The sequence below is a fragment of the Homo sapiens genome, chromosome 3 (genome assembly GCF_000001405.40).
Source record: "Homo sapiens chromosome 3, GRCh38.p14 Primary Assembly".
Classification (NCBI taxonomy): domain Eukaryota; kingdom Metazoa; phylum Chordata; class Mammalia; order Primates; family Hominidae; genus Homo; species Homo sapiens.
Genome location: NC_000003.12, coordinates 116248842 through 116273738, shown reverse-complemented (window position 1 = coordinate 116273738; position 24897 = coordinate 116248842). Strand labels below are relative to the sequence as shown.

Here is a 24897-nt window from a genome sequence, read left to right as displayed (position 1 = left end):
TGTATACATATATACGTGTGTGTGTGTGTGTATATATATATATATATATATATATGCCTCTTTCTCTTTCTCTTGGTGGTCCTCTGGGGTATTCCTCTAACCCATGGTCAAACATCTTCCTACCGTGGGTTACGTGAATTCAAAATAAATAGATCATAATTCCATATTCTAAAGTAGATTACTCCAAGAGAGCAGTAATGCCAACTCAAAGTCTTGGTGTTAAAGTTGTTTCGTTGTTTAATTTCCTTTTTCTTTCTTGGACTAAGACTACAAACCCAGAAGTATTTCTGGGGTTGAATTTTTGAATTGATTGATGTGTAATTATGATCTCTCTTTAAATGCTTCTTACATGAATATTCTACTTCTCTCAGTTTTCTATTAAGATGGAGGCAGGTTTCCCACTTGAGGGAAGAAAATAAAGAACTAGGTAGAGTGTGGCTGGTCAGACGTTACACAGGGAATCAACTTGGAAGCCAGGATGAGAATGGGAAACCGTGGGGGTTCTTATCCAGTGCTGTGTCAGTCAAGGATAAGATGAGGTGGAGATAGGATTGATAGGGACAGCAGTTTGGCTGGTGTAGTAGGTCACACATGAACTCACATTTGATATACAGATAAGGTCTTCTGTCCTGCTTATCTCTTTCTGAAATTATTAAGTGCTGTGATGACCTTTGAGCGAACAGTGAGCAATTCTAAGTAGTGTTCAAAGAATGAATGACAACACTTAATAACACCAGAAGGACTCAGGAAATCCAAGGAAACATATTAGCATGTCATAAACCCCAGAAATAATTTACCTGACTCTGAAAGGTTATTTATGCCCAAAATGCTCGTTTCATAAAAGAATAGAAAACAAAACAAAAAAATTAGTTTACTATTGCCAAGACATTTAAATCAAATAGCAAACCAAAGTTTCATTTTTATTTTTTAAAATCATGTTAATAGAATAGTCTTTTCTGCCACTTACTTAGGACAGATTCTTACACATACAGGAGGACATTATTTGTGTATCCTGAACCTGTGGGGTTCAATATCATGCAGAAAATAACGGACTATCCAGGAGATGAATAGTTATTCCTACTGTCTTTAAATAAAAACAAAGCAAAGGCAAGAAAACACCATGGATAACAGCAACATAAATCATCAATGTAGTTCAAGGCCTTTGCTTCAAAAATAGTCAAGACGAATTAGATTAATTCTTCATTGAGAAATTGCATCTCCCTATTAGCCAGTGGGCATGATATGACCAATTTGAGTAGTTGTATTAAACTGCTACTTCTCAAGCCATTATCAAAGGATTGACTAGGGATCAGTGCTTCGATAAGTGCAATAAGATGGCCTTTCTATCAAACAATGAATGAAACTTATCTTGCCCAGTGACAGAACACCAACTCAGAGCCTTGGTGTTATAGTTGTTTTGTTGTCCATTGTTATTTTTGCCTTTCTCCAAATACTGAATTAGTTGTCTCAGTCCCATGATAAAACAGGACTCAGGATAAGTCCGTGTTCATACACAAATGCATCACTGGGCAGAAGTGTTATTCGCACATACATAGTTTCTGTGTTGTTTTTATTATATATATATATATTTATTTGTTTATGGAACTGTAATTTAGTGAGACATATGCTGTATAGGTGGATCAATGCTTCCAAAGACAAAGAGATAAAAAGGGCTTTGAGAATTCCTTCCATCTTTACATCCATCTCTTTTATCATTCTACTTGCTTTCCTAAAATCCAATCTCTATTTCATCCTGGGTTTTAAATTTATTTTTCCCTTCACAAGTGAATACTAACCCATATTATTTTTTTATTCACTTCAAATAGAATAAATAGGAAATACTTCATTTTACTTCCTTCTATTCTTAGTTTCTATCTATCCTTCTCTATAGCAGAAAGGAGCCCAAGAATAAGTTTGCATATTATTGGATTACTGTACCCACGGAACAGTAATGAAAGTGCAGCTTCTCTTTTAGACTAACTACAAATTGGCACACTATCCGTCAGCACGTTGCATTTTATGCCTTGTCCACAAAGTCGATTATATTTCTGTGGTATAAGATGGGAAGTTTAAAGGAAAAAGTTTCCATTTGTTTTCTACTGTTAGTAGAGTAGAATGTTTTTGCTCAATATTCCTAAAGCATGTGGCCCCAACTGTTTATTAACAAAATCCAGTTTTGTTATTTTGATTCTTCCACCAAAGAAATCTAAAATTTGAAACAAACTAACTGGGAGTGATAGAACCTGGGAGTATTATATCAAGTTCTAGCAATCTTAAGGAAGATATTTAACTCCTTGGAGTGTTATTTCTCTCATCCCATCTTACACCACAGAAATATAATCTACTTTGTGGACAAAGCATAAAATACAATTTGCTGAGGGATAGTGTGCCAAGTTGTAGTTAGTCTACAAGAGAAGCTGGACTTTCATTACTGTTCTGTGGGTAGAGTAATCCAATGAGTATAATTAACTTATTTACCAGACAGTTATTTTTAAATTGAAAAAAGTATTACAGTAATGGTAGCATGATACCTTGTATTTTTATACTAAAAATAAGCTGTTGCATATGAAATAGCTGAATTCTGTTTTTTATTGTCTTAAGTCTTGAATTAATTTCCTTCTTGGCCATCAACTCTTTAGAGTGGAACCATGGCAACATCATTATCTAATGTGTATTTACCTAACCCTATATTTCTACCTTTTTAAAGGTCTAAGGACTCACTTCTAGCATGTTACTTATGAAAAGAATCTGTACTCTATCTGTTCCAATCCCTTAATTTTACATACGAAGTAATTGAAATCTGGAGAAGTAAGCAAGCTTTGTTGAGATCTCAGAGCTAGTGACTAACACAGCCTGAACTGCATTTTCTGACTTAAGTTACAGTATTTTTTTACTGCTTATTGTATATAATTATTCAAGTGGGATATTTGGTTTTGTTCGCAGAACCTGGGTTTACTTTGAACTTTTTCTATAAAGTGACATTCTGTGTTTGCAGCTTGTACAGGATAAACAGGGAGCCCTTAGAAAAGTTACAGCTGAAAGATTTCCTGAACCCTCCAACATTAAACATTAAGGCCCCCTGGGCAGTTCACAGTTGTCCAGGCTCCAGCAATTGTAGTGCCCTGGTGTTTCTAGGAATACATTATCTTGGACCTAATTGAGATCAACATAACCAATGTTTCATTTTATTATTAGTCCTTATTGGTGGCTGAAGGTCCGAGGCTACTGCTGATGGCCTCAGACCCATCTTTGGTATTACTGAAGTCATTCTGCAAACTCAACTGCTAAAACAATCACAATTGTTGTCAAATGAAGTAAAGAAGCTTCAGGGTCCATTTGACACTGCAACCTGAATTCCAGACAACCCTGCTTGAGTTGTACTGGGCAGAAGGATGTTAACTCTGTGGTCATCCAGATAAATGGAGTGTTAACTGGAAGGGGAATTGACTTTTCCTGTTGTACAGCAGCAGTCTTTTATCATTTCCGTTTATCATCACAGTGAAAATTTCCTGTGACTAAAAGGGTCTGCGGTGACTAATTGACCAATGACATACTTATTAGGACATGTTTCATATAAAAATCTGACCTAAAATGTATATTGCTTTGGAAAACACAAAATAAAACCAAAGAAAATAACATTTTATTTTATGAATAAGGCAAGTAAATTGGGTAACAGGATTGCAGGTGGGAGGTAGGGTTGATGATTAGAATTTTAGAAAAATTTGTCATGTTAAAAATGGTTTAGCTTGAAGAATCTTTAAATAGAATGCCCCCATGGGCGTGTAGACACACATTCATTTATTAGAAGTCCAGTAAACACAGTTGTTTAGGTACAAATTCATTGTACAATATAAGGTATGCTTATACAATGTTTGGGCAGTTTCTTTGGTTTAAACTGTGAGAGAATTGAACCTGTGTGTACATAAGCACAAATTCATTTGTGATCTTGATCAATTGATCAAACAAAGAACCATGTGCCTTTCAGTAAGGTGATCACATATATGTCCCCATTTGCTCAGGACAGTCCAAATTTATACTAGTTGTCCTACAGTAATTATTAGTAGTGCCCCTCTTCACTCTCAGAAGCGTCCTGGTTTGGATGATAAATTATATGGTCACTTATTTATATGGCTGCTGTACAATGAAATAAGCCCAATGTTAGCTTGAATATAGAACAGAATTACGTAAAGAAAATTCAGCCAGCACTCACAGCAGTGCCATTAGGTTTAGCATCATTCATTCAACAGATCATTATGTAGTATTCAAACTTGAGCAAATATTTGTTGAGCACTGTGTACCAAGCAATGTGTAGGATGCCAGAGATCCAACTGTGAGTACTCTCTTAAATGCTTTCATAAGCAGGACAGATTGTAAATGTGAACAGGGTATATAATATGTGTGTTGCATATTTTATTTAACATTTAATAAGAGAGATTGCCATTAGCATTATATAAATGAGGAAACAGGCTTGCAGACATTTCAAATCTTGCTTATTATCACAAGGCTTATACATAAAAATGCTGAAATTCAAACTCACTTGCTATTAAATTCTTTCACTTATCTCTTCATCATGTTCCCTTGAAGCCATAATTGAGAGAGTAATTAAAGCGTTTTGTGCTTGGTGTGTGGGAGGGGATGAACAGAGGTGATGATGAAAAAGGAATGGGTGGACTACTATTCTATACAGCAGCTTTCTGAGTTGTCAGGACCACCCAACAGAAGGGCTTCTCTAGCCCCTGCCAGAGAAATAATTACTTGATCACTAACAGGGTCAGTGTGGCACCTGGGCCCACTGAGTGACATGATGTTACCTAGATTCTTTAATCTGGTTGGACTGCTATTTCACCGACTGTTCAAATCCCCAAAAAAGTTAGTTCCATTTCTATTCTCCATGAAAATCCCTGCCCTCTTACCAAGCTGTCCTTCATCCTACAAGAGAATAATAATATTTTTTTAAATGAGCAACAAATTATAAGCAACAAATGAGCAACAAATTATATACTTTAAAATTATAAGAGTAAAATTTTTAAAGAAAGAAAGAAAAATAGAAAAAAATTGTTTAATCAAAAACACTTTGGAAATCTTAAAACACACAGAAATTATTGAGGTCTAACCAAAGGGGGAGAGACTCTATGTTTGCCAAGTTCACCAAAAAGTGATAGTTCTTTCTCATATCCCCACCAGTTACAGTGCTCTAAGGATGTTAAAGAAATGGCATGAGCCTACAGATTCACATCTGGAAACAGCAGCATATAAAGAGCTGGTTGTCTTCCCCCATCCCCCGTCCATGCCTCAGATACAGCTGAGAAAGAAAGAAGATGCAAAAAATTTAAATTGTGCCTTACATGAAGGATAGGGTATGGATTTATGCCTTATATTTCCATTATAGCAAATAAAAGGCATTTGGGTTGGCCAGGCAGAGGAGCATTTGTGGTGTACATGACCACTCTACTTATCAAAAAGACTTCCCTTTATAAACAAAGTAAGAAGGAATGGTTGCATCTTGCCTACTACACACACACATTTTTTTTTTAATGGCCACTCCTAATAGTTTAGGAATAGTACAAAGAAACTGGAAAAAGGATGTGTTAGGATTAGATTTAGTTGCATATTACAGAAAGGTCAAATAAAGTGGCTTTAACAAGTTAGGGTTTTTATTTTTCTTTAATGTAAAATAGCCCAGAAGAGATGTCCAGAGCAGAAATTATATCAGAATTGCCCTGGCATATCATTTAACTTTGCCATCTTGAATGTGTTGCTTTCATCCTCCTGGTGCAAGGAAGAGTTTGGTGCTCCAGTCATTACACTCCATTCCTCCCTTGAGACTCTCTCCATTGACTTTTACTTACATCTCATTGGTCATTCCATCAGCAAGGGAGACTATAAACTGGAGGATTTTAGCTTGGCTCATCGCTCACCCATTAATACATTCCTTCCCACAGAGGAAGATAGATAGGTAGAAGAAATATTGGGGAGAATACTGTCAGTCTCTGCTGCAGGCGGAGAGTACCTTTCATATGTCTAAAAAACAGACGAACAGAGGATGGCGTCAGAACAGAGGGTCTTAAACTAATGAGCAGTTCACTGAGGTTGTGGCTGCTCCAGTGACAGTTTTTTTTTTTTTTTTGCCAGCTTAAATCTAGGATTCTCAGAGGGACAGAGATAGGGCCTGCATACTGTCTTCTCCCCTTGGCAAGTAAGAAACTTCTCTATACATCCTGACTGCTGCTTTCCTCCTGTCAGTTCATTGATACTAAGACTCCAGGGAAAAGGGAGTATAGTTCTTCCTGATGTAAAGGCAGCACCAGCAGAAGTACAACAGGAAACATTGTACAAATGCACTGGGGAAACAGCAACATAAAATTCCTTGCTATGCTGATTCTGTTGCTGCAAAATTCATTCCATACTTCAAGTTAAGTAATAGATCCAAAATGCATGTCATCAGCTTCTTTTTTCACAGAAAGAGATGGATCTGTTCAAAGTTCACTTACATTTCTAACATTCCATTGTTCATTTTTATTTCCTCTTAAATGAGCATCTCTTATATTCTGGATGCAAGTGGCGCCAACTTCAAAAAAAAATGTAACATCTGCCTTGCATTCCAGCTCAGTGTATACAGTGGGAGTCTACTTTTCCTGCTCTGTTTCACGAGATCTTAGTTTTGAATCCCTGCTTTGGGATAGTAGTTAGAAATACCTGCATTGATCTTATCACATTGCCCTGTAGGATGAGATGTCATAAAGAGTCAATGAGTTGACACATGTAAAGTGCAAAGCAGTTGGCAGGTGCCTGCCACACAGAAAAGGAACACTCCAGTAAGTGTTGGTTATTAATATTGTTAGTGTTTACTATTATTATTGTTAGTATTAGTGTTGCTGTGTTTTTGCCTCTTGCTAACATTCCTGTTTACGCTTTGTAATATTTTTTCTCACAGACTAATCATATATATTATATAACTAATCTTTTTCATTTTTCCTCTCTTCCTGTGTCATCTTTTTTACCTCTCTATACACTTGTGTGCTTGCCCTTGCCTCTGTTTCTGCATGAAATGCCAATCTTTTCAGGCTGTCTTTGGTGACTTCTAAACTAATATACTCAAATCTGGACATAAGGCATACGTACAAGTAGCTGATCAATAGTTCTCCTCCAATATGCTCATCTCCCATCACTGGGCCTACCAGAAATAATAATAAAAGTTCCCTATTTATTGAACACCCTCTGCTATGGATTCCATATTCTCTGTGGTCTCCTGTAAATCAAATACATTCCTTTTGTCTCTTGGTTTCAGCTCAGGTGTTGTTTCCTCTGAGTGATTCTGTTACTTGACCTTTCTGCCCTCTCTCAAAGTTCTTGGCTTGCAAGCAGCATAATAAATTCCCATCTCATCATCATTAACTGTCAACTAGAAATCCACAGCCATGTGAAGAGTAGAATAGGAACCCATGTCTTGTCACTAAAGCATGCTAGATCTCTAATAGCTCATTAGCATACCATACACAAGCATCCTGCTTTTAATTAGTTACGTGGTGTGATAATTAAGTAGTATTTCTCTGCAGTTTCCCCTTGTGTGGGGAAGAAAGGGAGGGAAGAGGTGGGCTAGCAACAGAAAGGGGTGTTAATGCTTAAGTATGAAGTTTTAAGTAATTGTGACCCTGGGGACAAAATAGTCAGCAAATTCTCAAGGGGAGAAAATAAAGTACTTCCCTTCTGTTAAAAAAAAGTCAAGAGACAAATCTTTCCTCCCCCATTCTCACTAATAGTTATTGAAGGGGAAAAAAAAACCCCACAACTTTTTAAACTAAAGATAAAAACAAATGAAAATGAATAAGATCCAAAGAATGTCTTTTGTTACTCTGCCTTATGTTTTGAGATGAGAGCACAACTGATGTTATTGGACTAGTCCAGGTCAAGAGGATTAGGGAAAGACAACTGCCATCATTCTAAGTTGACTAAAGAATCCTAATGGGATCTTGATATTTCAACAAAGAAACATTTCAGGAAGCCTGTATTTGAGTCCCAAAGATTAACCACAATTAGATTAACCCTGTTCAATCTAATCATTTCTTTTCACAGGTGGGGAGGATGATATACCACCTCTTGGGACTGCTGTTACGCCATTAGTGTGAGACAAGGCGTTGGGGAAAGAAATTGCCCTTCCCAACAACTTCATCATCCTGGAACGAGTATTTAGATTCTTATGGCCAGAGCAGCAGGACATATAAACTGAAGTCATGTTCTGGCAGGGTATACGCTATCGAATTTCTTCGGATACGAGAGCAGATGGCAGGCTATGAACCGTCAATGTGTGGATTTGAAAAGTTACTACATTGTCAAAAAGATAGATGTAAATCTGCTATGATAGAACACACCAAATGCAGTCCCACATTGAGCTTAATAGTAATCCAGTCTCTCACAAACCATACCTACTTCAAACAAGCGCCAAGCTCCCAATTAAAAACAATTCCAGCATGAACCTTAGCCTCTCTCTAAGTGACCCTTTCTCAGGAAGAGCAGATCCCACAGCTTCATATTCTTCAGCATATGCTTTTTCATGTTGTGACATAAGAAGAATATATTAGGTCTTTGTCCCCATTCCTGGCACTGAGCTCCTAAAACCCTTCAAAATCGCTGGGTAATTGGAATGTATTTTGTTATTCATAACACGTCCCTTTTGATCATTCTTGAGTTTATGCTGATGAGGTGACTTAGGAAGGAGCCTCTAGAGAGCCTCAGGATGAGGCTGCTCACAGGAAAAACCAAATGATTCTAAGGTTGGAATGTTCAGCTCCACCCACAGACCTCAGGGAAGGAAGGTGCTGCTAGAGATTAGGCAGAACTCTATGAAAACTCTTTTTTTTTTCCCCCAGCACTTGGGAGGCCAAGGTGGGAGGATTGTTTAAACTCAGTTTTTTGAGACCAGCCTGAGCAACATAGCAAGATCTCTTCTCTGCAAAAAGTAAAAATTAGAAAATAGCTGGGCAAGATAGCATGCACCATTAGTCCCAGCTACTGGTATGGCTAAGGTGGGAGGATTGCTTGAGCCCAGGAGCTTGAGGCTGCAGAGAGCCATGATTATGCCACTGCACTCTAGCCTGGGCGACAGAGCAAAACCCTGTCTCAAAAACAAACAAACAAAAACCCACAAAACTGCCACCATCTTCTCTTCTCTAACTCTCTATCCCTTAACTCTCTTATTTTTTGACAGTCACAGTAAAGCAGAAACACTACACAATGCCCCTTAAGCGCCCATGAGCCTCTCAGAGAGTCTGGCCTCAGAAGGTGAAATGCAGCAATTGATGAGGCTGTGCTGAAGCCATGACTCAATGTCTTGGAAGCCGCCTCTTACTAGCATATGGGAAACATCATAAGGCTACTTCTTTGCCTAAGTTTGGCAGTCAAGCAATTCCAGATAACCCTCCAACTTGGAACAAAATAAAGTCCAGATTAAGAATGTAATCTGGAAGAAGAACAGAGGGAGAGCTTTTTTATCTCTTTATCTCAGAAGAGTACATTTTTAGGGTTCACCTAGAAATTGAGTAAGAGACCAGGGAGATACCAGAACATACTGTCTTTAATTTGATGAGCTAGTACACCTAATTAGATTCTGCTGACCTACTAGACAACATAATACTAAAAGGTGATATTTCCCTTAACCCTTAAATATGCCAGGCCTGTGGTAACAACCAAGTGCAGGCAGACTTGTTTTATTGCCATCCTGTTTGGAAGCAGCACAATATCACTTTCAGACGAAGCCTCTAGGAGATGTTCTGTACTTTTCTCCACTCTCAGTTCTCAGTCTTGTAAGCAGTTACGAGTGTACCTTTCTCCTCTAAGTAAAGAAGCCATAGATGACTCCCCGAGACTTTTAGCAAAACTCTTGGCCTTAAAACTATGCTACCATATATTCTTAGAAGTCAAAGGATGCAACACAGAGAATACATTTTTCTATGAAGATTAATACAAGTGATATTAGTGGATATAACCATTAATTGTTTGGACTCAGCCTTATCTTACAAATGCAAGGTCATTTATCTAGATCAGTACTTAAAAACATAAAATTTAATAAAATGCAATATAAAAGTTGGTTTAATTTTGATATGTGCTTTATAGGAGTGAAGCTGAAAATATTTAACCATATCACTCAATATACAGTTTCTTATATATGTTACTATAAAAATATTCATCTTTTTTTTTTTTTTTTGAGACAAAGTCTTACTCTGTCACTCAGGCTGGAGTGCAGTGGCGCGATCTTGGCTGGCTGCAACCTCTGCCTCGCAAGTTCAAGCCATTCTCGTGCCTCAGCCTCCCGAGTAGCTGGGATTACAGGCATGCACCGCCATGCCCGGCTAATTTTTGTATTTTTAGTAGAAATGGGGTTTCACCATGTTGGCCAGGCTGGTCTCCAACTCCTAACCTCAGGTGATCCACCCACCTCGGCCTCCCAAAGTGCTGGGATTACAGGCATGAGCCACCGCACCCAGCCCCATCCTTTTTTATGGTAGGTTAATCAGTTCCTGCGGTTGAGAGCAGACATAGTTCATTATGATCACCTTCCTATTTTTGTCCTGATTACATTCTTTGTTGTGTTTGTTATTCGTAAATTAAACAAGTGGTCCCACGCTAACATTTTTTTGTCATTCTCTTTTATAGTGTTATATTCCCTTTGACCATTAGAGAGCAGACAGGCTTCCCCAGGGAAAGTAGGTAGAGTGACAGAGCTCAACCCATAGAAATAAAAGCTTTGCTTTAAGAGCCGAAAAATTAAGATTTTTTAACCTTCTTCTCACTGAGCACTCAGGAAAACAGTTTCTATGAATGTATCTGAAGTCCTCAATCCCTTCACCTGCCACATGAGGAACCAAGAAGAGCTTTCCAAGTGCAGAAAATTGCAAGTTATGTGGCTTGCTTTGATTTTGTTGATTTCATATTTCCCTTGTAAATGTCCTTTCCCTCCTTCTGTCTGTCCTTTCAAGCACATGATATCCCCTTCAACTTTTTCCTTGCTCCTCTATCAAGATATGCTGAATGATTTATGACCTGAAATTTATTGCATTCTTTTCTGTGCAATGATAGCTTCCCTGATACAATAGTCTAACTGAGTTTTAGAGGCTCTGTTTCACGTACACCCATAAGTGCTTGCTGCGTATCTGATACCTACAGAGAACACCAAAGTGAATAGAGTCACATGCCTACAGCCCAAAAGCCTAGAATCCCAGACAGGGCTTGGGCATCTTATACAGTCAAAAGTGGACAAAATATCAACAGAAAAAGATGCATTTATGGGAGGATTTAAGACCTCAATATGGAGTCAGAGAAGAAATTTATCAGCATTTGTGTCACATATCCCATAATACCTAGAAACCTTACCACCCAAGAAGACTAAAATGTTCTCACATCACAGTCTAGGATCTATTGTTTCACAATTTCCAATTCCTTGATATTTAAAATGAAATTCCAGATTCAATATCACCAAGTTAATAACAGCAACAGGCACAACAGGTAGTAACAATTAACTTCATTCACATAGGGAATGGAGGAGAGGCTGGAATGTCTTTTCTTTTTAATACAATAGTCATTGCATTTAGGTAAAAAGGTCCTAAAATAGCAAAGAAAATATGAATATTTCGATCCAAATTTGGGTTGGAAAAATGAAAACAAAATGGTAAAGAAGGGGCTCCATTAGGCTCAATAGGGAAGTGATTTATTAATTATTACATAAATTATTCTTGTGCTATAGAGATCAGCCACATAAAGTATAAAAACCCTTGCTCAACTGGTCTCTTACTTTAATTTAGAAAAAGATGTGAATGCAGATATATATATGTAATTATATATATCAGAATTTATTAATATATTGCATTAATATATAATGTATATATTTTATATTATAATAACATATATGTGCATAACATATCAATAATACACACACATACACACCTGTCACATAGAGAATAACACACATTCAAGTGAAAAAGAGAATGATCTAAGAGCATTTTGGAAAGATTTCCAAGATCAGCCACATTTTGTGAATCTGCTTTTAGTTGGCTAAGAATTTTTTTGAAGAACTTAGTCTTCAGAAAGATGGGATGCAGGACACTGTGCTAATTTCCTAGATAAATAATTGTTTTTTAATCAGAAAATTGTTTAAAATACAGATAACTTTCAACAAAGCAAAACTGAAAAAGAAAATGGAATTCAAAGATATGAGAAAGATGGAGCTAAAGTGGAAGAATGCTATGAAGAAGAGAGCATCAGATGACAGCTTTCTAAATAGCGAGGTGACATGCTGATAATTCAATGTGATGCCAAGATAATAAAAATGCATAAGAGCACTGGCCCAACAGACACATGCTATTATGGAACAGGAAACCTGTACCCTATAGCTCCTATTTATAAGGTAAGGTGAGCTGCAATCTGGCATCCCCCTTCTAGGTTTGAATGCCCCACGATCAGAAAGATGCTGATAACTGGAAATGAAAGAAGAAACCAACAACAAAAATGATTAAAGAACTTTAGGGTGCATGAGGAAAGATTAGAAGAATAAAATAGCCCTAGTTTTACTGTGATAACTAGGAAGGAATATGCATGATCACTATCTACGAGTGCTATATCAGAAAGTTGTAAACACTAAGGAGGCAAAGGAATAATTTACAGTACTGTGATACCAAGGTGTATGTGGCTAAGGGTAATAGGATAGAATTACACTTTGCAAAATATAATTTGAAAGCTTAGGATATATTTTAGAAAAGTTAATTGTGCACAAACTGTTTTACATGCCCAGAATGTTAATCAGCTGCATCCTTTCCCAGGTGATGCTCTATCTCTGCCTGCACCTCTACCTCATCAACAAACACTCAAGGAAAAGCACTTAGCTGAAGTCTAAATCTCCCAAAGGAAATGCTGCCTTAGACTTTAGGTCTTAGGATTAGGTTCTCCTTCTTTATCCTCAAGGCATAGATACACACTAATTGGCTTTCTCCCCTCTAAGCCTCACGTAGGTTGAGGACCCAGGCCAAGGAAAAGGGAGCCAGAGTTAGAAACCTGGAAGTTATGCTGGTGTAGCAGCAAAGAAGTCCTATCCTAGCTCTCCCTCAACCTCCTCCAGGTAACCAGCACTCTTAGAAGGTGTCCAAGTGCAGTTACTAAAGCCCTAGAAGATTATGCCGTGGTCTCAAAGAGGATCCAAAGATTATGCACTGAGAACTTGAAGAAATTATTAGAAACCCTGTGTATTTTGTATCTCACTCATTTTTATTCCTATTTTTATATATTTTACATTTATAATATATTAGTATAGTTTATAGTAAGTTAATATAGCAGTTCATTATTATTTATATATTATTCGAAAATTTTAAAAAATGTGTATGTGAGGTCCTGTGACCAATTATTATTATTTTAATAAATCTGCTTTTACTGGAGAGAAGAGAGACTCCTGGAGATTAAAGAATTCTACCTACCACTAGGCAGTGTCAGTAAATATCAAATGAGATCAAGTGTGTTTGTTTAAGCCCTTTGGAAAGTTAAATTTACTATACAAATGTAAAGAAGGATCCTTATTGAAAGGATTAGAAGGAGGGAAAGTTTAGCATTCCTTTCCTTAGAAAAAGACAATCACATAAAACCATCTTCTGAATGTAAATGAAAGATTTAGCCCTATATGTGAGGCAAATACCAAATCTTGGAAATGTAACTTCTCCAAGGAACATACTTGGGAAATTGCAGGGGGAATATTGAGAAGAAAGACTGTAGAAAAAAGAGAAAAAGAGAATCTGGAAGATGCATAGCGTGAGGATAGAAGAAGTATTTTGAGATGAGGTAAAATGAGAAAAATGAGGAGAAAGCAAGCTGTGATGCTGCTGCAGAGGATAAAGATAGCTGTTATAAAGGCAGAGAGCTAAGAAGGAGAAGACCCAAGCACTCTGTTTTTCTTTTGTTGTTTTTTTGTTTGTTTTTTTAGTTGAGACTTTTTCTTATCAAAAGTATTATCCAGTCACTTGTACACTCAACCAATAGGAGATAAACATATTTTTGCAAGCAACTTTACGAAATGATTGCATACCAACACCACCAGCACCACAGCTACACACATCACACATTTATGTAGTGCCTTCTAAGTTAAAACTACTTGCATGCACATCATTATTACATTGGCTTCTGGTTGTGAAAGACAGAGAAGTAATCTAGCAAAACGAAATAAGTCTTAAAATATGACACAAACACATATAATTATTTTTAAAAATGGGCATAAGAAGTAAGCCTTGGTGAAATTTTCCAATTTTAGTTTATCTTGTGGACTGTCAAGACTGAAAATGAACCGGTCTAAATTCTTCACCATTTATGAACAAAGTATAGCCATTAAATACTGTCTTATACCTCTAGAGCAATGTTAGAACAAACAAACCATATTTTATATGAGTGTTTTTAACTCCTGTCTCTGGGCCAATGTCTCATAAATAAGCTAAAAAAGGTTTTTGAGTAAATGCAATTGATTGAGGCATGTGCACTGTTGGTAAGATCAGTTTGGCATTTTAAGTCTGACATGTTATCAAATTGCTAAATGTATGGTTGTGAAAATCTAACAGCTGACTGCAGAGCCACTGAACAATTTTGTAGAATTTCTCCTGTTCTAATTACTGAATATGTTGAACAGTGTTAACACCACTCATGAACTGAAATGTTCTGATTTAATAAAAAGACAATCCTTGGGTAGGGTCAAGCTAAATCCTAATGTCTACAGATTTGGCGAAACAAGGACAGAATGTGTACATTTATGTGTAGGGGTTCTCTTTAAAACGTATTTTTAATGATGAAAAATATCTCCCCAATAGTTTTCAAGTGTTACACGTAAACCTTTTGATAAGAAGGTACAAGCTTATGCATAGACGTCACTCTCCTCTATCTTTTTAATTGAGCAGTCTCTGTATGACTATACGAATCATAAGAGGTCACTTTAGAAGTATGTGCCTATCTGAAAATAACAACTCTATTTTACTGTCAGGCAAGTGTTGTGTTCACCTTCAGGAAGCAGGGCAAACACATGATTTTAAAAATAATTTTCCTATTGGCCGCTATTGCTTCATTGATTCAAACTGTGGACCTCACTCTTACTTAGAATATGATACATTTCCTTAAAAGAAATTTCCATCACCTGATTATAGTACACAATTATAAAGGATCATCTTTTTAAAATATTATTTTCTTTTAGAATTCTGTTAAAATTTAATTTTAAAAAAGCTTAGAAAAATTCATCCCTGACATTCTGTTTACTACTTTAAAGATTACGGGTTTCTAATATACTAGCCTAGCATTAATTTTTAAAATGGAGGAAATTATTAACTGATTTAAAAAAAGATACAGAAGAATTAAATGAAACATCCATATTTAAATAAGTTGTTGGTAATACTCAGATAATAAAAGATATTTTGAAAGCTACTGAGAATTCAAAGGAGACTGATATAAATGGTAAAAAAAAGATTATAATATAGGTTGGAAAATAATTTGGGAGAAGACGGATTAATCCTTAGATTCACTCATCAATTTTGTAGAAAGGCAATGGTGTTAAATTTAGTTTAGGAGGCCAAAGAATTGCACATTCTTCTTTCCTTTATGAGAATGAGATAAAGAACAAGAAAACAAGCTGAAATCAAAGAATCAGTCAAAAGTAAAAAGGGTGACAAGCTAAGATCAATGAGGATCAGTTTTAATTCCTCCTATTTTACCTGATAATTGCCTGGTTATTAATTTTGTAGTGTTAATTAATATTACTCATACTTAATGAGGCACTGCAAAATTCTGAGTCATTAAGGAAAGTCAAAGTATATTTCCATGTTTACTGAGAAAACAAAGAATACTTCTTTTTTAAAATTTCAATAACGGAAGTGCAACAAGGAAAAATGACACAAAGAATAACATTCACTTAACCATTCACTGATTTAACTGGTATTTATATGGAGCACCCACCATGTATCAGCAGCTCTGTAGGTGTAATGAGGTTACAGGAATAAACAAGACTAGAAATTTCCGTGAAGGTCATAGAGCTTAAATTCAAGCAACCAGAAAAAAATTACATTGCTCATTATAATTCTCTACCAGATTTCTAAGCTGATTCTGTTTTTTTCTGTTTTGTTGTTTATTTTATCATTAGCAGCAAATATTCAGAAAAAAAAAATCTTTAATTTTATGTCAGAAAGTGCAATAACATTATTGTTTCCTATAATCCAAATTTGTTTCATAAAACTGTCACACTGCACCATTCCTTGAATACTTCTTACAAATTGAATCTTGTATGACTGCTCAAGAAAACTATCCAAACAATGTTAAAAAGCAGAAAAGACACAAGAGAGAAAAAGGACTAAGAAAAACAGAAGAAAAGAGTAACCCTACTTAATAGAAAAAGAACATTTTGCATAGTGAGTGTTTGGCTTATTATTCATGCCTTCACCTCCCAGCCTTCTGAGGGATGGAGTACACATGCACAGATTGGGCATACTCCATTTGTAAATGTGTTACCAATTACATTAGTCAGTAAAATTTCCCTGTAACTATAACGCTTGGGTCCCTGCTAAAAGGGAGTTTAGAGAACACTACCTAGATCTAAGGCTGAAGGGCATCCTCTGACCTCCCATTCTAAATTAGAATTTGAAAGCCACAGAGGAGTGTGTACCTCCTTTGAAGAGCACACACCGTCCCATGAAAACCACTCTCAGGGTCTTGCCCAGAAGTGCCTCCAGCATAGGGTTTGGAAGCAGATAGTCGAAGCATAGCAGCCCCAGATGTGAAAGCAAGGAAAAAGTGCTAGCTGTGCCTGAGTGCAGCAGCTGAAAGAAAGGTAAAATAGGACTTGATTTTTGTGACTGTGGAACAATAGCTTTTGCCACTCATGACACGTGACTCAGTGGATAGATGTCAGGGTCTGATTTATCGGATTCATCCTCTCTCCTCCTCACTTGGAGTGGAGACAGTGATAGGGTGAAATGGATTGAATTATTCCACTCATAGAAAAGTGAGGTGAGACTGACACACAGAAGAGAGAAAGAAAAGAGAGGACCAGGTACAGGAGAAATGCATAAATTGTAACAGCAATTTAGAGAGGATCAGATATTTTGAGCATGCTTTCAACTCTTTACTTTCTATCCTTTACATACTAACCTTTGTGGATATGTTGTATATAATTACAGATAAAGGCATGTTATATATTAATTATATCATCAATGGACTGTTTTATTACTTCTTTCAACCAATTCTTCAATTTTACTCAAGCTGCAAATCACACTATCAAAAGTTAAAGATGAAAAACACTTGCAAGGTCACGGCTTGTCCTTTTTCCTGAGTAGGGGGAGGAAAACCAGTGTTTTCTTCAGTATTTTGTAAAAGTGATATTCTATCTTTCCACGCTTGTGTGCACTACTGAGGTCTGCGCAAATGCTCTTGCTTTGCTGGTTGGTTTTGCTCAGAGACAGGTTTTAAATGCACTAGAGGAAAGCAGCTTTTGCTAAATGTTTTATAACGTGTCAGGAAACCTTTATCGAACATTTAATCCAAAACCTGGCTTTGAACCAGGGAGGCATACAATTTCGTAATTAATTTTTTAACCTTCTTTTGCTAATCGCTGATAAAAAGCTTAATTCTATTAACAACTCGACTTGACAAATTGCACCGCTCAATGGAAGCGTTTAGAAATTAATTACGCATTTTATTGCATTAGATCGGATAAACAAGGAAGGATCAGCAAGGAAAAGGAAAACCCAAAAAGAAGGAAAATGGCCAAATATATACAATCCACTGGTGTCTGACTATTTCCATTATTATTCAATGTGTCACCAAAAAAAATAAATAAATAAACAAACCTCTCAGCAGTATCTCCTACTAAAGTGTGGTTTTTGCCTCTAGCATAGGTTAGTAACACGTTTTTGTTTTTCCTGGAAGCATACATTTTTTTCCTCCTATAGCCAAAGCTGATTTGGATTTCTGTAGGGATTTCTTGCTTAATTGTCATAGAAGCTCAGCCCTTCCCCTCCTTACATTCACCAGCATCTGGTTTTAGGTCTCCCAGTGCCTGGCCTTCAGGGATTTAACTTAAGAGTAGCAAATTGTAAGGTAGGTGTGATAATGTGCTACCAAAGTATTAAAAATAAGAGGGGAAAAAAGATTAAATTGGCTTCCACTTCACTTCTCCAGCTAAAGTTAAATGCTCCAGCGGTCAGAAGACCATGTGCAATTTTTATGGTTCTCTTTGTCTATAAATACACATGTTTCAAAATGGCTGTTGAAAAAGACTTCTGGCACATAATCAAACTGTTCTAGCTTGTGGACTCCTGCATTGTGTCTGCTCTAACCAAAGACTTTTAAGCTGTAGCAAACTTGTCAATAAATTCATATTTAAAGCACCATGTTCTTTCTCTCTCTTGTATGATTTTGCAGCTCTCTGGCCAACATTCTTTTCCTTCTCTTACTTGATAAAATATAACTGCCCTTTTGGAATTTCTTCTTTAGTTAGTAGTGCACTCAGTTGTTGAGTTCTTTTTTGATTCAGTAATTCTCAAGTCAGTACATAAGCAAGTTATTAAAACAAACATCACTACTGATGGTGATGGGTGGATCAAGAAGAGGAGGGCCTTGTCTACAAAAATATAGAATAGAGCTCTTCATTGAAATGAGATGGAAATGTAGAGAAAATGCAGTCTCATGTCTCAGGCAGAAATACTGTATAAAGATATATTAAGACCAAAGAGCAAAAGAGAAAGATGCTTTCCTAACATCCAATCTCAGTAACTGGTGAAAAGTGTCCCTTTAATCTTTAAGTACCTTAGGAGTTAATTTTCTATCAGAAATCAATTCCGAGGATATAGAATAATTCTGAGAGATTGCACAACATTCAGTGCAAAATTTAAAATTCTTGGCAAAATCATGAGTTTTTATCCAGGGAGGTTTGTGGAAAAATACATTGTTGAGCAATCTGAGATTCTGGGAAATACTGTCAACCATTGGTGCATCTTCCAAAAAGTAAAACTGAAAAGTCAAATCACTAAACAGATGGTAGTCAGAGGCTTGGATCAAGCCATAGGCGAAAGTTGGCTTTTTCCAGTTCTGATGATGTTAGGGGCCCTCACTTTTAAGCTTGAGTTCTAGCAGAACTGTGCTATAACCTTACTGAAACAAAACGGTGTTAATAGAGGGAATTGGTTTTGTTTATTCATGAGAGGCAGATATGGTGGAAACCACCCTAACAGCCATCTTTATTGTGGCACATTGGGTCTTCTTCTTTTCCTCCTCCTCCTTCTCCCTTCTTCCTTTCCCTTTCTCTTTCTCCCTCTATCACCCCCTCCTCTTTCTTTAATTTTTTTCTCTTTAATAATCTCTTCACTTTCCATCTTTGCATGGCCACATTACATCATATTTCTTTTCTGAAAAGCAAGTAGGCAGTGGTGAGTGAAATTGTATATAAATCTGTATGTTACATGAATCAATACATGGACTATTAAATGCAGCTCTAATTTGTGGACAGACTAATAGTTATAAAATTGATACAGAAGCTTTTTTTAATCAACAGATCATTTTTTACCTCCTTCTCTGTGTTGGATGGTACAAGAAGTTGGGATACCAAGTGATGGTCCCTGTCTTTAGAGAGTATTCCACATATATTTAGGGTATGTTAAAAGGTAGATTACTCCATAAGTTATCAAATTAAACATCCTCTATGAAGGATATGCAGTCAGTGCTACTGGACGTTAGAAGATAAAAGACCATCATGGAACTGCAGGGAAAGGAAATAATGTGAAGAAGCACATGGTATTTAAATTGGGAAGAACTTGATGGTCTGAAAATGCATATGCGGTTCATAAAATGCTATGGTTATTTGGAAATGAGAATGAGCTTGCATGGCCCCTTTGAATAAAGAGAGCTATCATCCTGCCCCTTACAGCAACTTGAATCATACCACTCTACTCTGTTTTCCTGCCATTGTCTTTCATTCTTAAGTTTTAAACTTTGTCGGATTTATTTATTTACTTTCTTCCTGCTTTAAAACTTCTGGGTTCACTGAAGCACAATAACTGCTGATTCACAATGTTAAACAAATGAGAAATGTTCATGCCTAGAAAAGGAAGCTCCACAGGACTTCTTGTAGCCTAGCTCCAGCTACGTGAACGAGTGAGAGAAAATTATTAAGGTTTATTATGCTTAACATTATGTAGTGCTCTTTTCTGTTGCCTCTGTAGTCTTATTTTGGGTTGCTGTGAATTACCATCTGCAAAGACATGTAAAAGATAAAAGACAAATAAGAGTAATAAAAACATGCTATATGTATCACCTATATGTAATGTTCTAGGAAAAATGTGTCTCTCCAGGGAGTTTAGCTGATGTTTATAACCACCACCATAGGAACTCTTTGTTTGGGGTTTGGATGTGGCTAATGGAAAATATCACCTCTTGTTTTCTGTAGTTCCATGGGTGACAACTGATTACTACAAATCACGTTGGTCAGTATGTGCAAATGGTGAAGAGGTTTTTTTTTCTGTATTTATTTTCCGTATTCTGTATTTATTTAAGTTGCAAAATGCGTCCATTTCTCATACCCCTTTGCAATAGTAATATATCAAGAAAATTCCTAGCTCTCTCTTTATGAAGAAAGGGGGGAAAGGGTGGGGCCATGTGCTGTGCTTCATATTTCTGATAATAATCCAAGGCTAGAACATCTTTGGAACTGCTGGTTTAGTTGAATGTCGTATTGATTCGAGAAGTCCAGAAAGGGCTGGACTGATTGAATAATTAAAGCCTCTTTCTTAAGATGGTCAGGTTATTGTAAACCAAATAGGTTTCTCTCTTTGTTGATCAGTACTTATGTCTCCAGTTAAGTATAGTGTGCCCCTAATCCTTGACAATGGGGGTCAGAGTTGGACTTTCTGGAGGCTGTTGCAAAGAAGAAAACATCCCATAAGTTCATGATGACATCTGCGGAGCTAGCCGAAACCACACTATTTACAGAAATGGTAGAGTTGAATGCCTGTTAAGTAGACATTTAGTGCATTAAGGTTTTCCTCAAGTTATTCACGTTCATAATGCTGAAATATTTACTTTGCTGAGAAAATTTTTATTCATTAAAAATGTTTAGTCACTTAGAATCACGAGAATTCATAAGATTACAAGAGCCTCTAGAGATTTTCCAAATGAACCACCCATCATCACGCTGATAGTGTTCCTTCTATTTTTTTTTCATACATTATTGAGAAAGGCAGCATGAGAAAAAAGCAGTGACAAAATTCTTTAGCTACTTCAAAGACTGGATAAGCATCTGTCTTGCAGGTCACAGGCCACCTAAAGCCAATTCTATTATGACTGGCTTTAAATGGATGGCTTGAAAAGTCTCACTTTGTCTACACAATTGATTTCATGAGGTTTTCTTTTTGGTGTGAGATTACTGAGTTCTTTCTCCAGCACATTTCAGTTGCCCCTCGTGGTGACAGTACACACTGCCAACTGCCTTGCCCTCCTTAAGTGGGTACCATCAATGTGGCCTTAACATTTGCTTCTTTGTGCTTATGGACTAGGTGCACATTGGCACACATGTGGCATAGGATAGGCTGTGTATACAGGGACCCCTTGGTCTCCCATGTGTTTAAGAACAATGAATGTTAATGTTGTTTCTAGCCAACAGTGAGAGGAGCAGAGACGCTCCTAACGAGAGCTGACACAAGGAGAAATACTGGCTTTTTGTCTGTCTTGTATGTTAAACAATTCATGAGATTTGGGGTCGAGTGAGACATTTAATAAACATTGGCCTCTTGGGCTGCCTACAGCTGGTGATTTGTCACTATTGGTCAAATGTATGAGAAGCAGAATGAGTTTTTCAGCTTTTAGGACTTAAGTCTTAACAAATAATTCTATTTACCATCCATTTAAATTTAAAGGTACAACATGATTTAAGAGCTACATAACTGAATTTTGGCTTGTGTAAGAAAAGCAAGTTTTTCATAAGATAAAATTAAAATATTTGCAAATTGAAATCTTTAATAGAATCTAAGCACTGGAATTGTTCCTAAATGTCTTTCAGCCTAAGCTTCCACTCCTTGCAGTAATCCCTTCTGAGGAATGGGTCAGTTATCTATTCTTGATGTAACATTTTGCTCAGCTCCATTTAGTTTCTTTAAAGGAGCTGCCCTCTGTAGTCTTGACATAAAAGGAATGACCCTCTGGGTCTGTATTATCTTATCTCACCTGTCTCTATCTGTATTGCTGACCTATCCTTTGCTAATGACTTCACCTGCTTGTGATTAACGTTATGGGTAAAGCATTTGCTGGGTGGCCTTGGCTCCCATGAACAACTTCTGTTAGAAAGGTGTTCTTGGTATTGAGGTACTTTCTGCCTGTTTTCTATCTCTACCTTTTGTACTAACCATGGCCTCCTCAAAAAAAATCAACACCAAACTTTGTGGCTGAATTAGGAATTCCAGATTTCAGATTACAGAATGCCAGTGAGGATTTCATCAGAGAAATCATAAGTTAAATTGATGTTTAATCAGATGTTTCGACCTTAAATTAACAATAATTTATTCAACAGTTTATTGTTTTGGCTAATCTGTCCAAATGGGAGGGACACGTTTTGTAAAAAGAGAAACTGTTGCTTGAAACCACATATCTTATCAAGGAGGCAGCATATCTTAGCAAAGAGGGTAGTGAACTCATGACAACAAGGTGGGCACATGGACAGTTAACCTTCTGTCCCTTCAGTGGATTCCAGCTAAGGTCATCCATTCTTTGCAGAAACAGTTTGTCCTGCCTCTAAGACAGATGTACACACAGGGACAGCAATGAGTTTACTTTCCGTTTTCTTTTATAGCTTTCTTTTGTTCCCCCCAACACTCCCTTTTCTTTTGAGACAGAGTCTCACTCTGTCACCCAGGCTGGAGTGCAGTGGCACGATCTCTGCTTACTGCAGCCTCCACCTCCCAGGCCCAAGTGATCCCCTACCTCAGCCTCTTGAGGCACTGGGACTAGAGGTGCATGCCACCATACCTAGCTGATATTTGTATTTTTTTTTTTTTTGTAGATACAAGGTTTTGCCATCTTGCCCAGGCTGGTCTCAAACTCTCGAGCTCAAGTGATCCACCCATGTCAGCCTCCCTAAGTGCTGGGATTACAGGCCTAAGCCACCAGGCCTGATATTTGTTCCTTTTTGTTTTGTTTTTTTAAATCACAACCTTAGACATTTATGAAGGTAGAAAATAGCCGTTCCAGTATTGATAATAATTTGTGTTTAATTTCTATACAGAAATGGTTCTTTCTTGAATATTTTGTAGGGATGGATGAATTGAAAGTGAATTAAAGTCAAGATAAAGGAGGCAACTCTTTAATGAAGGAAATGTTACCAAATCCATAGTGAAGAGTAGAATATGTTCTTTTAGAGTAGATAGAAAGTCCCCAGGCTCCTGGTACTCTGTATTTGACATTATATTTCAGGCAGCAAAAAAAATATGTTACCTTACTTGAAACAAGTACTTGTAGGAAAGATAACAATACAATGATTATATGTATTTAAACTAAGATTAGGGAAGAAATATAGCATGAGTTTTGTTGTCAAGCACTCTGCTATTTACTTCATTGAATATGATTCTATATGGCACAACTCATTAAATTCTGGGACAACAAAAGACATAATGTTAAGATCTGGATTTTTCTGTACACTACTATGAAATAGCTAAGTTATCCTAGGCAAGTCAGTTATCTTTCTCGATCTACGAACCTTTGTTAATAAAATAGGATTTACAATAATGGCTATCCTATAGGTCATAAGAAAAATAAATGAGATAATGCTCTTAGAAGCACTTTGTAAATTCTAAATTAGAATTTTAATGGCAAGAGTTTTTGACAGTATGATATTGTCATCGGTAATAATTAAGACAATAATAATAATAAACATATGCTAAAGGGTAGTGCTGGCCCATAACTGTGGCTAAGTATGATCTAATGGGGTCTATTATTGATTTTGCTGAAAATACTAATTTTTCGGGACTCTCTTGGATATACGGTACCCAGAAGACTATGTATTAAAGAGTCTTCTGGCTGGGTGTGGTGGCTCACACCTGTAATCCCAGCACTTTGGGAGGCTGAGGCGGGCGGATCACGAGGTCAGGAGTTTGAGACCAGCCTGACCAACATGGTGAAACCCCCACTCCACCAAAAATACAAAAATTAGGCAGGTGTGATGGCATGCACCTGTAATCCCAGCTACTCAGGAGGCTGAGGCAGGAGAATCGCTCAAAGTTAGGAGACAGAGGTTGTAGCGAGCTGAGATTGCGCCACTGCACTCCAGTCTGGATGACAGAGTGAGACTCCCATCTCAAAAAAAAAAAATATAGAATCTTCTACTAGTCTCCAAAGCTTCTGAGAACTACTAGCTTCCAGGATAAGGCAGAAAACTTGTCTTGTCATCTTGGCATGGAAGTGGAAAAAAATATCAGATAAAGAGTTCACATGTGCTGTTAATTCTGAAATTAGGGGATATTATTTTGGACACATTTAGATGAATACTGATTCTCCCTTGACTCTCATAGTATCAAAAGTGTTGTTTAAGTTTAGTCCTTTTTTTTTTTTTTGAGACAGAGTCTCGCTCTGTCACCCAGGCTGGAGTGCAGTGGCGCGATCTTGGCCCACTGCAAGCTCCACCTCCTGGGTTCACGCCATTCTCCTGTCTCAGCCACCCGAGTAGCTGGGACTACAGGTGCCTGCCACCATGCCCGGCTAATTTTTTTGTATTTTTTAGTAGAGACAGGGTCTCACCATCTTAGCCAGGATGGTCTCGATCTCCTGACCTCGTGATCCGCCTGCCTCAGCCTCCCAAAGTGCTGGGATTATAGGCGTGAGCCACCGCGCCTGGCAGTTTAGTCCATTTTAATGAACTGA

General features: G+C 37.1%; 1 protein-coding gene across 4 annotated transcripts in view, besides 2 other annotated features; it reads left to right on the top strand.

Annotated features, from left to right (window-relative positions):
- The window catches only part of LSAMP (limbic system associated membrane protein), a 643114-nt gene that overhangs the window by 171749 nt on the left and 446468 nt on the right, over nucleotides 1-24897 (top strand). The window lies entirely within an intron of this gene.
- Nucleotides 13272-14163: an enhancer, noted in NCBI's record as "OCT4-NANOG hESC enhancer chr3:115978423-115979314 (GRCh37/hg19 assembly coordinates)". NCBI's record gives its function as "activates a minimal SCP1, AML or CMV promoter by ChIP-STARR-seq in naive H9 embryonic stem cells {active_cell/tissue: H9 hESC(naive)}" and the evidence as "EXISTENCE:reporter gene assay evidence [ECO:0000049][PMID:30033119]".
- Nucleotides 16395-16951: an enhancer, noted in NCBI's record as "NANOG hESC enhancer chr3:115975635-115976191 (GRCh37/hg19 assembly coordinates)". NCBI's record gives its function as "activates a minimal SCP1, AML or CMV promoter by ChIP-STARR-seq in naive H9 embryonic stem cells {active_cell/tissue: H9 hESC(naive)}" and the evidence as "EXISTENCE:reporter gene assay evidence [ECO:0000049][PMID:30033119]".